The sequence below is a fragment of the Homo sapiens genome, chromosome 14 (assembly GCF_000001405.40).
Source record: "Homo sapiens chromosome 14, GRCh38.p14 Primary Assembly".
In the NCBI taxonomy this organism is placed as follows: domain Eukaryota; kingdom Metazoa; phylum Chordata; class Mammalia; order Primates; family Hominidae; genus Homo; species Homo sapiens.
In genome coordinates, this window is record NC_000014.9 from 24,442,895 (window position 1) to 24,456,709 (window position 13,815).

Sequence of the window (13,815 nt, forward strand, 5' to 3'; positions counted from 1 at the left end):
GACCCTTCTCGGCGACCCGGAAAAACTTGTAAATATAGGCTGGGTGTTTCAATAGCAAGCGAGGTGGGAGGGATTAGACCGATGGACCCGGAAAGGGCGGAGGAGGGAAGGCTTTAGTGTAGAAAACCAACCAAACCAAACCCAAACCAACAAAACCCTTCACCTAAAACCCGAAGCTACCCAGACCTCAGAATTTTGGATGTCTATTAAGTTGGCGGGTCAGTAATGCAAGAGAACCCTTCCACCGGTAATCTGGATTTCTTTCCACTCGGCCAGTTTTTTCTTCTCTCTCTTTCCGCTGGAGCCTTTCTATCAACATTTAAACATTCCAAAGATCCCCCTATATTAAAATAAGCCTTCTCCAGACCTGTTTTTCCTCCAGCTAATATTCTTTTTTTTTTTTGCCTTCATAGCCAAACTTCCCACAAGTGTGGTTTCCATTTTCTACTTCTTACTTCACTCCTATAGGGTTTGTGCCTTTATCATTCATTTCCTCACTCTCCAAGAACATAAGTTTCCCATGTGTCACCAAATCTAATCCCTAGTTTTCAGTTAGTTTTCTTGACCTCTCAGTATCAATGGGCACCTGCTGATTCCTTCCTCCCTTTGAAAATGTTTGGCTTCAGTGAAAGACATTCTCTTCTCGGCTTTCTCGTACCTTTTTTCAGTCTCTGATGCTTGCTCCACCTCTGCTAAGTTCTTAAAATATTGGTATTCCTCAGAGCTGGATCCTAGGACCTTCTCTTTCCAATCTGCACTTTACCCTAGGCATCTATGCCTTGAATTCAGTTACCAGGCTTTAACAGAAGACATCCCAAATCTCCTATGCAACTCGGATCTCTCCTCTGAGCTCCTAACCCCTATAAAAACTTTTCACTACACATCTCTTCTTGGACGTCTGAAACCCTGTTGATTTTAAATACTGAATCTCTCCCAGATTTATCTAAGAGGGGTCTTTGAAAAGTTCATGGAAAATGTGTATTATGCTAAAAAATACATAGGTTTCCAATTTTTTTTTTTTTTTTTTTTTTTTTTTTTTTTTTTTTTGAGACGGAGTCTCGCTCTGTCGCCCAGGCTGGAGTGCAGTGGCGGGATCTCGGCTCACTGCAAGCTCCGCCTCCCGGGTTCACGCCATTCTCCTGCCTCAGCCTCCCAAGTAGCTGGGACTACAGGCGCCTGCCACTACGTCCGGCTAATTTTTTGTATTTTTAGTAGAGACGGGGTTTCACCGTTTTAGCCGGGATGGTCTCGATCTCCTGACCTCGTGATCCGCCCGCCTCGGCCTCCCAAAGTGCTGGGATTACAGGCGTGAGCCACCGCGCCCGGCCCCAAATTTTTTTTACACCAAAATAAACTTGTACTAACTTGTTATATAACATGTCTGAACAGGATCTGACGCACTAAGAAGGCTAGACAGTTTGAAAAGAGCCCCTATCAAAGCAACCTGAATTCTGCTAAAATTGAAGCAAGAACAAACATGGAGTTTCTGGTGAAGAATGATGAAATTGATGCCTTATGAAAAGTTTATGAGGACAATGCCCCAAATAAATCATCAGTCTACAAATGCATAACTCATTTTAAGAAACGAGGAGATGGACAAGCATGGTGGCTCATGCCTGTAATCCCAGCACTTTGGGAGGATTATGCACGAGCCTCTCTCAAGCCCAGGAGTTTGAGACCAGCCTGGGCAACATAGCGAGACCTCATCTCACTAAAAATTTAAAAATTAGCCAAGTGTGGTGGTGCACACCTGTAGTTCCAGCGTCTTGGGAGGCTGAGGCAGGAGGATTGCTTGAGCCCAGCAGTTCAAGGTTGCAGTGAGCTATGATTGCACCACCGTGCTGCAGCCTGGGTAACAGAGTGAGAACCTGTCTCAACAAAAAGGGGAGGAGATGATGTTGAAGATACAGATAGTGGCAGACTATCCACATCACTTTGTGAGGAAAAAAATTCATCTTGTTTGTGCCCTAATTGAAGAGAACTGACAACAGCAGAAACAATAGCCAACACCATAGACATCTCAGTTGGGTCAGTTTACACAATTCTGACTGAAAAGTTACAGTGGAGCAAACTTTCAACTCGATAGGTAACAAAACTGTTGTACCCAGATCTGCTACAGTTAAGAGGAGAGCTTTCAGTGGAAAGTTTAAACAAGTGGGGTCAAGATCCTTGATATGGCTTTGTGACCTCACCCAAATCTCATCTTGAATTGTAATCCCCAGCTATTGAGGGAAAGACCTGGTGGGAGGTGATTGGATCATGGGGGCAGTTTCCCCCATGCTGTCCTCATGATAGTGAGGGTGTTCCCATGAGATCTGATGGTTTTATAAGTAGCAGTTTCCTGTGGGCTTTTCACTTACTGTTTTTCCTGCCACCATGTGAAGAAGGTCTTTGCTTCCCCTTTGCCTTCCACCATGATTATAAGTTTCCTGAGGCCTCCTGGGACATGCGGAATTGTGACTCAATTAAACCTGTTTTCTTTATAAATTACCCAGTCCCCAGCAGTTCTTTATAGAAGTGTGAAAACAGACTAATACAATCCTGAAGCATTTCATCAAAGAATTGTAACAGGAGATGAAATATGGCTTCACCAGTATGATCCTGAAGAAAAAGCACAATCAAAGCAATGTCTATCAAGCGGAGGAAGTCAAAGCAAAGCAGACCAGTCAAGAGCAAAGGTAATGGCAACAGTTTTTTTAGGCTACTCAAGGTATTTTCCTTGTTGACTTTGTGGAGGACCAAAGAATGATAACATTAATTTGCCTATTGAGAGTGTTTTGGGAAAGTTAGCCAAAGCTTTAGCAGAAAAACACCTGAGAAAGCTTCACTAGACAGTTCTTCTCCACCGTGACAATGCTTTTGCTCATGTCTCTCATCATACAAGAACAATTTTGTTAGAGTTTCAATGGGAAATCTTTAGGCATCCACCTGATTTGGCTCCTTCTGACTTCTTTTTGTTTCTTAATCTTAAGAAATTCTGTCAAGGGCACCCAGTTTTCTTCAGTTAATAATGTAAAAAGGACTGTATTGATGTGGTTAAGTCTCCAGGACCCTCAGTTCTTTAGGGTGTACTAAATGGCTGGTGTCATTTCTTACGAAAGTGTCTTGAAGTTGGTGGAACTTATGTTGAGAAATAAAGTTTATATTTTATATTTTTTAATCTTTTAATTGATTTTTCCACAACATTTTGAAATTTCCTCATATTTCCCTCTGTCTCTGCCATCACAATCGTCTTATGAGTTATTCTGTCTTGTGTAAATATCTGCAGTAGTCTCCTAGTAGGTCTTCCTGCTTTTGCATGTTTCTCCTCTCCAAACTATTTCACACATTGCAAGCTGAGTGATCTTTGAAAACCATATGAGGGGAACATTATAGTGGCACGTATAGTTTAAAAAACTCCCAGTTTAAAATTCCTGGATATGCTGGATAAAATTAAACATACCTCCATTTAAATGTATTGCCAAGTTAGCTAGAAAAATAAAAAAATCCCAGAAGCCAAAAAATGAAATGTGTCTTGGGACTGAGGTTATGACAAAGATTATTTGCTTGGCCAAACTTTAGTCAGGCTTCTGAACCTTCTAGGCTCATTTGTACACCTCTTTGTAAAATCCAGTTTTCGCAAAGAGCCTTGCTAAGTCAGTTTAGCAAGAACCCCCTCAACCCTTGATATCTGATCACTCTCAATCTCTGATCAGGCCCCTCATCCTTCATCCCCTAGGTGATGTCTGATCACCTTGGCCTATCTTCACATGAATCCCGTTAGTTTGGGTTAGCCAGAATCCCTCTTACCCTTGATATTTTTCTCTTACTAATTTTTCATCCACTGACCCCCACCGTATTCGTTGGCTATAAATTCCCACTTGCCCATGTTGTTTCATACTTGACCCCAATCTCTCCCACTGCAAGACCACATTGTAGTGGTACCTGTACCTATTGTGATGGAAAGTCTTCCTTACCTTACTCTATCAAGTGTCACTGAATAATTTTCTTTAACAGGTATTTTGTGACTTTTAGTTTCAGTAACCCAGAGGCTTGGGTGACAGGAGACCATGCCTGAGATCGAAGCAAATTTGGGACTGAGACCCCTGGATAAAGCCCTTGGGCTGTGTTCTCAGATAAAAAGTAAACTTTAAAAGTCCACCTGGTATCAAAGAACATGGCCTGGAAACTTGTTTCTCTAGGCTTTGCTCTTGTCTAGGATTGGTTGTCAAAAAAATTACCGTTCTTTGAGAAGTTGTATCTATTGTCCTGTCCGCCTGCATATTTGTGGTTTGAATTAATTGTTACCTACTTGGCCTAGAAAGCTCTAACCCAAGAATTTAAATTAAGTGTTCCAGATAGAAGACATAAATCTTCCCTTGGTTTGGTTTCACAGGATTTCAATAGATAAAATCCTGCCAAGCATAAACATACAATACAAAATTACAAAACACACAAGGAAACAAAGCACTCTGAGGGTGTCAAATAAAATCAAACCAAACCGAAACAGAAAACAGCAGATTTAGACAAAGATTTAAAGTGTTAGAATTTAGAGGTATAGAATATAAAATTACCAAAGTTTAAAACGTTTAAGAAAGAGAAGAAATTAAAAACATGAGAAAGAGACAAGATGCTATCAAAAAATACCAGCAGAATTGATAAAAGAACCAACCTGAACTTTGAAAAATTAAAATTTTTTTAATTCAAAAAATTTTTTATTGTACTTTAAGTTCTAGGGTACATGTGCACAATGTGCAGGTTTGTTACATATGTATACATGTGCCATGTTGGTGTGCTGCATCCATTAACTCATCATTTACATTAGGTATTCCTCCTAATGCTATCCCTCCCCCCACACCCACCCCACAATAGGCCCCGGTGTGTGATGTTCCCCACCCTGTGTCCAAGCATTCTTATTGTTCAGTTCCCACCTATGAGTGAGAACATGCAGTGTTTGGTTTTTTGTCCTTGCGAGAATTTGCTCAGAATGATGGTTTCCAGCTTCATCCATGTCCCTACAATGGATCATCCTTTTTAATGGATGCATAGTATTCCATGGTGTATATGTGCCACATTTTCTTAATCCAGTCTATCATTGATTGACATTTGGGTTGGTTCCAAGTTTCTGCTATTGTGAATAGTGCCACAGTAAACATACATGTGCACGTGTCTTTATAGTAGCATGATTTATAATCCTTTGGGTATATACCCAGTAATGGGATTGCTGGGTCAAATGGTATTTCTAGTTCTAGATCCTTGAGGAATCACCACACTCCCTTCCACACTAGTTTCCACTCCCACCAACAGTGTAAAAGTGTTCCTATTTCTCCACATCCTCTCCAGCACCTGTTGTTTCCTGACTTTTTAATGATTGCCATTCTAACCGGTGTGAGATGGTATCTCATTGTGGTTTTGATTTGCATTTCTCTGATGGCCAGTGATAATGAGCATTTTTTCATGTGTCTGTTGGCTGCATAAATGTCTTCTTTTGAGAAGTGTCTGTTCATATCCTTCACCCACTTTTTGATGGGGTTGTTTGATTTTTTCTTGTGAATTTGTTTGAGTTCATTGTAGATTCTGGATATCAGCCCTTTGTCAGATGGGTGGATTGCAAAAAATTTTCTCCCATTCTGTAGGTTGCCTGTTCCCTCTCATAGTAGTTTCTTTTGCTGTGCAGAAGCTGTTTAGTTTAATTAGATCCCATTTGTCTATTTTGGCTTTTTTTGCCATTGCTTTTGGTGTTTTAGACATGAAGTCCTTGCCCATGCCTATGTCCTGAATGGTATTGCCTAGGTTTTCTTCTAGGGTTTTTATGGTTTTAGGTCTAACATTTAAGTCTTTAATCCATCTTGAATTAATTTTTATATAAGGTGTAAGGAAGGGATCCAGTTTCAGCTTTCTACATATGGCTAGCCAGTTTTCCCAGCACCATTTATTAAATAGGGAATCCTTTCCCTGTTTCTTGTTTTTGTGAGGTTTGTCAAAGATCAGATGGTGGTAGATGTGTGGTATTATTTCTGAGGGCTCTGTTCTGTTCCATTGGTCTATCTCTCTGTTTTGGTACCAGTACGCTGCTGTTTTGGTTACTGTAGCCTTGTAGTATAGTTTGAAGTCAGGTAGCATGATGCCTCCAGCTTTGTTCTTTTGGCTTAGGATTGTCTTGGCAATGCGGCCTCTTTTTTGGTTCCATATGAGCCTTAAAGTAGTTTTTTCCAATTCTGTGAAGAAAGTCATTGGCAGCTCGATGGGGATGGCATTAAATCTGTAAATTACCTTGGGCAGTATGGCCATTTCGATGATATTCATTCTTCCTATCCATGAGCATGGAATGTTCTTCCATTTGTTTGTGTCCCCTTTTATGTCATTGAGCAGTGGTTTGTAGTTCTCCTTGAAGAGGTCCTTCACATCCCTTGTGAGTTGTATTCCTAGGTATTTTATTCTCTTTGAAGCAATTGTGAATGGGAGTTCACTCATGATTTGGCTCTCTCTTTGTCTGTTATTGGTGTTTAGGAATGCTTGTGATTTTTGCACATTGATTTTGTATCCTGAGACTGTTGAAGTTGCTTATCAGCTTAAGGAGATTTTGGGCTGAGACGGTGGGGTTTTCTAAATATACAATCATGTCATCTGCAAACAGGGACAATTTGACTTCCTCTTTTCCTAATTGAATATCTCTTTATTTATTTCTCCTGCCTGATTACCCTGGCCAGAACTTCCAACACTATGTTGAATAGGAGTGGTGAGAGAGGGCATCCCTGTCTTGTACCAGTTTTCAAAGGGAATGCTTCCAGTTTTTGCCCATTCAGTTTGATATTGGCTGTGGGTTTGTCATAAATAGCTCTTATTATTTTGAGATACATCCCATCAATACCTAGTTTATTGAAAGTTTTTTGGCATGTAGGGCTGCTGAATTTTGTCTAAGGCCTTATCTGCATCTATTGAGATAATCATGTGGTTTTTGTCTTTGGTTCTGTTTATATGATGGATTACGTTTATTGATTTGTGTATGTTGAACCAGACTTGCATCCCAGGGATGAAGCCAACTTGATCGTGGTGGATAAGCTTTTTGATGTGGTTTGCCAGTATTTTATTGAGGATTTTTGCATTGATGTTCATCAGGGATATTGGTCTAAAATTCTATTTTGTTGTTGTCTCTGCCCGGCTTTGGTATCAGGATGATTCTGGCCTCATAAAATGAGTTAGAGAGGATTCTGTCTTTTTCTATTGATTGGAATAGTTTCAGAAGGAATGGTACCAGCTCCTCTTTGTACCTCTGGTAGAATTTGGCTTTGAATCCGTCTGGTCCCGGACTTTTTTTGGTTGGTAGGCTATTAATTATTGCCTCAATTTCAGAGCCTGTTATTGGTCTATTCAGGGATTCAACTTCTTCCTGGTTTAGTCTTGGGAGGGTGTATGTGTCCAGGAATTTATCCATTTCTTCTAGATTTTCTTTTCTTCTTTCTTTCTTTCTTTTTTTTTTTTTTTGAGACGGAGTCTCACTCTGTCACCCAGGCTAGAGTACTAGAGTGCAGTGGCACTATCTCAGCTCACTGCAAGCTCTGCCTCCCAGGTTCATGCCATTCTCCTGCCTCAGCCTCCTGAGTAGCTGGGACTACAGGTGCCCGCCACTATGCCCGGCTAATTTTTTTGTACTTTTATTAGAGACTGGGTTTCACCATGTTAGCCAGGATGGTCTCGATCTCCTGACCTTGTGATCCACCTACCTCAGCCTCCCAAAGTGCTGGGATTACAGGCGTAAGCCACCGCGCCCGGCCTAGATTTTCTAGTTTATTTGTGTAGAGGTGTTTATAGTATTCTCTGATGGTAGTTTGTATTTCTGTGGGATCAGTGGTGATATCCCCTTTATCATTTTTTATTGCATCTATTTGATTCTTCTCTCTTTTCTTCTTTATTAGTCTTGCTAGCGGTCTGCCTATTTTGTTGCTCTTATTGAAAAAAGCAGCTCCTGGATTCATTGATTTTTTGAAGGATTTTTTGTGTCTCTATCTCCTTCAGTTCTGCTCTGATCTTAGTTATTTCTTGCCTTCTGCTAGCTTTTGAATGGGTTTGCTCTTGCTTCTCTAGTTCTTTTAATTTTGAGCTTAGGGTGTTGATTTTAGGTCTTTCCTGCTTTCTCTTGGGGGCATTTAGTGCTATCAATTTCCCTCTACACACTGCTTTAAATGTGTCCCAGATATTCTGGTATGTTGTGTCTTTGTTCTCATTGGTTTCAGAGAACATCTTTATTTCTGCCTTCATTTCGTTATTTACCCAGTAGTCATTCAGGAGCAGGTTGTTCAGTTTCCATGTAGTTGAGCGTTTTTGAGTGAGTTTCTTAATCCTGAGTTCTAGTTTGATTGCACTGTGGTCTGAGAGACAGTTTGTTATAATTTTTGTTCTTTTACATTTGCTGAGGAGTGCTTTACTTCCAACTGTGTGGTCAATTTTGGAATAAGTGCGATGTGGTGCTGAGAAGAATGTATATTCTGTTGATTTGGGGTGGAGAGTTCTGTAGATGTCTGTTAGGTCAACCTAGTGCAGAGCTGAGTTCAATTCCTGGATATCCTTGTTAACTTTCTGTCTCGTTGATCTGTCTAATGTTGACAGTGGGGTGTTAAAGTCTCCCATTATTATTGTGTGGGAGTCTAAGTCTCTTTGCAGGTCTCTAAGGACTTGCTTTATGAATTCTGGTGCTCCTGTATTGAGTGCATATATATTTAGGATAGTTAGCTCTTCTTGTTGAATTGATCCCTTTACCATTATGTAATGGCCTTCTTTGTCTCTTTTGATCTTTGTTGGTTTAAAGTCTGTTTTATCAGAGACTAGGATTGCAACCCCTGCTTTTTTGTTTTCCATTTGCTTGGTAGAACTTCCTCCATCCCTTTATTTTGAGCCTATGTGTGTCTCTGCATGTGAGATGCGTCTCCTGAATACAGCACACAGATGGGTCTTGATTCTTTATCCAATTTGCCAGTCTGTGTCTTTTAATTGGGGTATTTAGCCAATTTACATTTAAGGTTAATATTGTTATGTGTGAATTTGATCCTGTCATTATCATGTTAGCCGGTCATTTTGCTCGTTAGTTGATGCAGTTTCTTCCTAGCATCGATGGTCTTTACAAATTGGCATGTTTTTGCAGTGGCTGATACTGGTTGTTCCTTTCCATGTTTACTGCTTCCTTCAGGAGCTCTTCTAAGGCAGGTCTGGTGGTGACAAAATCTCTCAGCATTTGCTTGTCTGTAAAGGATTTTATTTCTCCTTCACTTATGAAACTTAGTTTGGCTGGATATGAAATTCTGGATTGAAAATTCTCTTCCTTAAGAATGTTGAATATTGGCCCCCACTCTCTTCTGGCTTTGAGAGTTTCTGCTGAGAGATCCACTGTTAGTCTGATGGGCTTCCCTTTGTGGGTAACCCAGACTTTCTCTCTGGCTGCCCTTAACATTTTTTCCTTCATTTCGACCTTGGTGAGTCTGACAATTTTGTGTCATGGGGTTGCTCTTCTCGAGGAGTATCTTTGTGGCATTCTCTGTATTTTCTGAATTTGAATGTTGGCCTGCCTTGCTAGGTTGGGGAGGTTCTCATGGATAATATCCTGAAGAGTGCTTTCCAACTTGGTTCCATTCTCCCTGTCAATTTCAGGTACACCAATCAGACGTAGATTTGGTCTTTTCACATAGTCCCATATTTCTTGGAGGCTTTGTTCATTTCTTTTTCCTCTAAAATTCTCTTCTTGCTTCATTTCATTCATTTGCTCTTCAATCACTGATACCCTTTTTTCCACTTGACCGAATAGGATACTGAAGCTTGTGCATGCCTCAGGTAGTTCTTGTGCCATGGTTTTCAGCTCCATCAGGTCATTTAAGGTCTTCTCTATGCTGTTTATTCTAGTTAGCCATTCATCTAGTCTTTTTTCAAGGTTTTTAGCTTCTTTGTGATGGGTTCAAACATCCTCCTTTAGCTCAGTGAAGTTTGTTATGACTGATCTTCTGAAGCCTACTTTTGTCAGCTCGTCAAAGTCATTCTCTGTCCAGCTTTGTTCCATTGCTGGCGAGGAGCTACATTTCTTTGGAGGAGAAGAGGCACTCTGATTTTTAGAATTTTCAGCTTTTCTGCTCTGGTTTCTCCCCATCTTTGTGGTTTTATCTACCTTTGATCTTTGATGATTGTGACCTACAGATGGGGTTTTGTGTGGATGTCCTTTTTGTTGGTGTCGATGCTATTCCTTTCTGTTTGTTAGTTTTCCTTCTAACAGTCAGGACCCTCAGCTGCAGGTCTGTTGGAGTTTGCTGGAGGTCCACTCCAGACCCTGTTTGCCTGGGTATCACCAGCGGAGGCTGCAGAACAGCAAATGTTCCAGAACAGCAAATGTTGCTGCCTGATCCTTCCTCTGGAAGCTTTGTCTCAGAGGGGCACCTGGCTGTATGAGGTGTCATTTGGCCCCTACTGGGAGATGTCTCCCAGTTAGGCTACTCAGGGGTCAGTGACCCACTTGAGGAGGTAGTCTATCCATTCTCAGATCTCAAACTCTGTGCTGGGAAAACCACTGCTCTCTTGAAAACTGTCAGACAGGGACGTTTAAATTTGCAGAAGTTTCTGCTGCCTTTTGTTCAGCTGTGCCCTTCCCCCAGAGGTGGAGTCTATAGAGGCAGGCAGGCCTCCTTGAGCTGTGGTGGGCTTCACCCAGTTCGAGCTTCCTGGCCACTTTGTTTACCTAGTCAAGCCTCAGCAATGGCGGACGCCCCTCCCCCAGCCCGGGCTGCCGCCTCACAGTTCAATCTTGGACTGCTGTGCTAGCAGTGAGCAAAGCTCCATGGGTGTGGGACCTGCTGAGCCAGGCATGGGATATAATCTCCTGGTGTGCCGTTTGCTAAGACCATTGGAAAAGCACAGTATTAGGGCGGGAGTGTCCCAATTTTCCAGGTACCGTCTGTCACGGCTTCCCTTGGCTAGGAAAGGGAATTCCCCGACCTCTTGTACTTCCCGGGTGAGGTGATGCCCCACCCTGCTTCAGCTCACACTCTGTGTTCTGCACCCACTGTCCAACAAGTCCCAGTGAGATGAACCCAGTACCTCAGTTGGAAATGCAGAAATCACCCGTCTTCTGCATCGCTCACACTGGGAGCTATAGACTGGAGCTATTCCTATTCGGCCATTTTGGAATGATCCACCCATGATGATTCAAGTTTTAAAATTCAGTGAATGTTTAAACATCAGGGAATAGATTTAGGCATTGGTTAAGAGAGGATTAACTAGATGTGAAGAAATTACCCAGAATGCAACAGAGAAAAAGAGATAGAAAATGTAAAAGAGAGGGTATGAGATGAGGATGATAAACTGAGAAATTATAATTCTTCTATTTGGTGTTCCAGAAGAGAGGAGTCAGAGAAGAGAACAGAGAAAATATTTGATGAAATAATAGCTGATTGTTTTCTAGAATTAAAGAAAGATATGAATCCTCAGATTCAGTAAACAAAATGAGTTTCAAGTAAGATAAATAAAAACAAACCCATACCTAGTTTCATCATAGTAAAACTGGAAAAACAAAGAGAGATGTTAAAAGTAGTCAAAAAGAAGACAGATTATCTATAAAGAAATGCCTTTTTTTTTGAGATGGAGTCTCTCTGTTGCTCAGGGTGGTGTGCAGTGGCAGGATCTCAGCTCACTGCAACCTCCACTTCCTGGGTTCAAGTGATTCTCCTGCCTTAGTTTCCTGAGTACCTGGGATTATGGGCATATGCCACCAAAGCCAGCTAATTTGTGTATATTTAGTAGAGATGGGGTTTTGCCACGTTGGCCAGTCTGCTCTCCAACTCCTGACCTCAATTGATCCACTGCCTCAGCCTCCCAAAGTGCTGGGATTACAGGCACGAGCCACCATGCCCAGCCTAAGAAATAACAATTAGACACCTGACACATCAGCTGCAACAATATCATCTAATGGAATAATATCTCAAGCTTGAAGAGAAAATAATTACCAACCTAGAATTGCTTACCAACACATTATTCAAGAATGAAGGTGCCGAGACCAGCTCGGTCATGGAGACCCTAACCTGGCGGCACTAGAGGAATTAAAGACACACATACAGAAATATAGGGTGTGGAGTGGGAAATCAGGGGTCTCATAGCCTTCAGAGCTGAGAGCCCTGAACAGAAATTTACCCACGTATTTATTGACAGCAAGCCAGTGATAAGCATTGTTTCTATAGATTATAGATTTACTAAAAGTATTCCTTATGGGAAACAAAGGGATGGGCTGAAACAAAGGGATGGGCTCTGGCTAGTTATCTGCAGCAGGAACATGTCCTTAAGGCACAGATTGCTCATGCTATTGTTTGTGGTTTAAGAACACCTTTAAGTGGTTTTCCACCCTGGGTGGGCCAGGTGTTCCTTGCCCTCATTCCAGTAAACCCACTACCTTCAGCATGGGGGTCATGGCCATCACGAACATGTCACAGTGCTGCAGAGATTTTGTTTATGGCCACTTTTGGGGCCAGTTTATGGCCAGATTTGGGGGCCTATTCCCAACATGAAGGTAAAACAAGGATACTTTTTAGACAAGCAAAAACTGAGAGCATTTGCCACCATCAGACTTAATATACTTTGTCAGGAAAAAAGGAAATGATCTGAAAAGGAAAATGTAAGATGCAGGAAAATAGTGATCAAAGGAATTGATAAAGTTGATAAATATAAATATTTACTATATTAAGCAACAACAATAATGTTTAATTTGTGGGTAAAAATTAAAAATATTAGTCACCAGTAATAGGTAGTAAGAGAAATATTTGACTGGAGTTGAATTGTTATGAAAAATATAGCAATACTGAATAATGTTAAACTTTGTTAAATGTAAATTTAAAAATTAAGGCTAAATATTGCATATTAGAAGTAAAGTGTGCACTTCTAAATCAGTAGAGGGAAACAATTGAATAAGATAATCTAATCAATTTAAAAGTTATCAGGAAAAGATAAAAAGAGGATGCTTAGAAAAAACTAGAAAGGCCAAAATAAGATAACAGAAATAATCAGTAACCATAATAAATTTAAATGGAGTAAGAAATTAAATTAACTAGATGTATCTGGAATTACAAATTTCAAAAGAAGTGAATCTCACAACTATAATGTTAAACAAAAAAGAAGTTGCAGAAAAGTACCTACAATATAATGCTATTTACCAAGAGATTAAAAGTATGCAAAATTATACTTTTTTTTATTGAGGGGCTAAATATATTTGTAGTTAAAATAAAAAGAAATGCAAGGGAATGATGATGATGGGTAGAATAGTAATGTGATCAAGGAGGAGTACCCTGGGAAATTTAACTTCTTATTTCTTAGGGTGTATTCATTTTATTTTTGGTATATCTGAAATATTTCACAATATACAAAAATGTGTAGTGGATTTAAGATATGTTGTCATATTTCAGATGTATGGAAAGATAACTTTATTTTCTGTAGTTGAACACAACTTGCTCATAAACATTTCTCATTGGAAGTGGTATAAACTTAAACTCATCCAACAAAGTTAATTATCATTTCTAGTTTAAAACTTCTCATATACTCAGTTTTCTCTGGGTAAATTCTTAGTCTTTCAGCATGCCTTGTCCCTTTTCTCCTTTCCTTCTCCTAGCTAGACACCCAGGTGTAGCAGGCCCTTTGGCAGGCACTGTTATGTAGTCCTCAGTGCCTGCTTGGAAGGGTCTCATCTCCTTTGGCCTTTGGATCTTGCCTGCTGAGATCAGCTAAGGCACAGCTGGTTAGGCCAGACCTCTGGGCAGTGTTTTGGCCACTGCTTCTGATACCCATGGCTCTTGCCTTGATATCAGAGTTCCACAGCAT

At 40.6% G+C, this 13,815-nt stretch overlaps 1 long non-coding RNA gene across 1 annotated transcript in view; it reads left to right on the forward strand.

Moving 5' to 3' along the window:
- LOC101927045 (uncharacterized) overlaps positions 59-13,815 on the forward strand; it is a 59,245-nt gene continuing 45,488 nt past the window's right edge. The window contains exons 1-2 of the long non-coding RNA NR_110032.1: positions 59-247; positions 1,390-2,678. This is a non-coding gene — a long non-coding RNA (uncharacterized LOC101927045). The remainder of the gene's footprint in view (positions 248-1,389; positions 2,679-13,815) is intronic.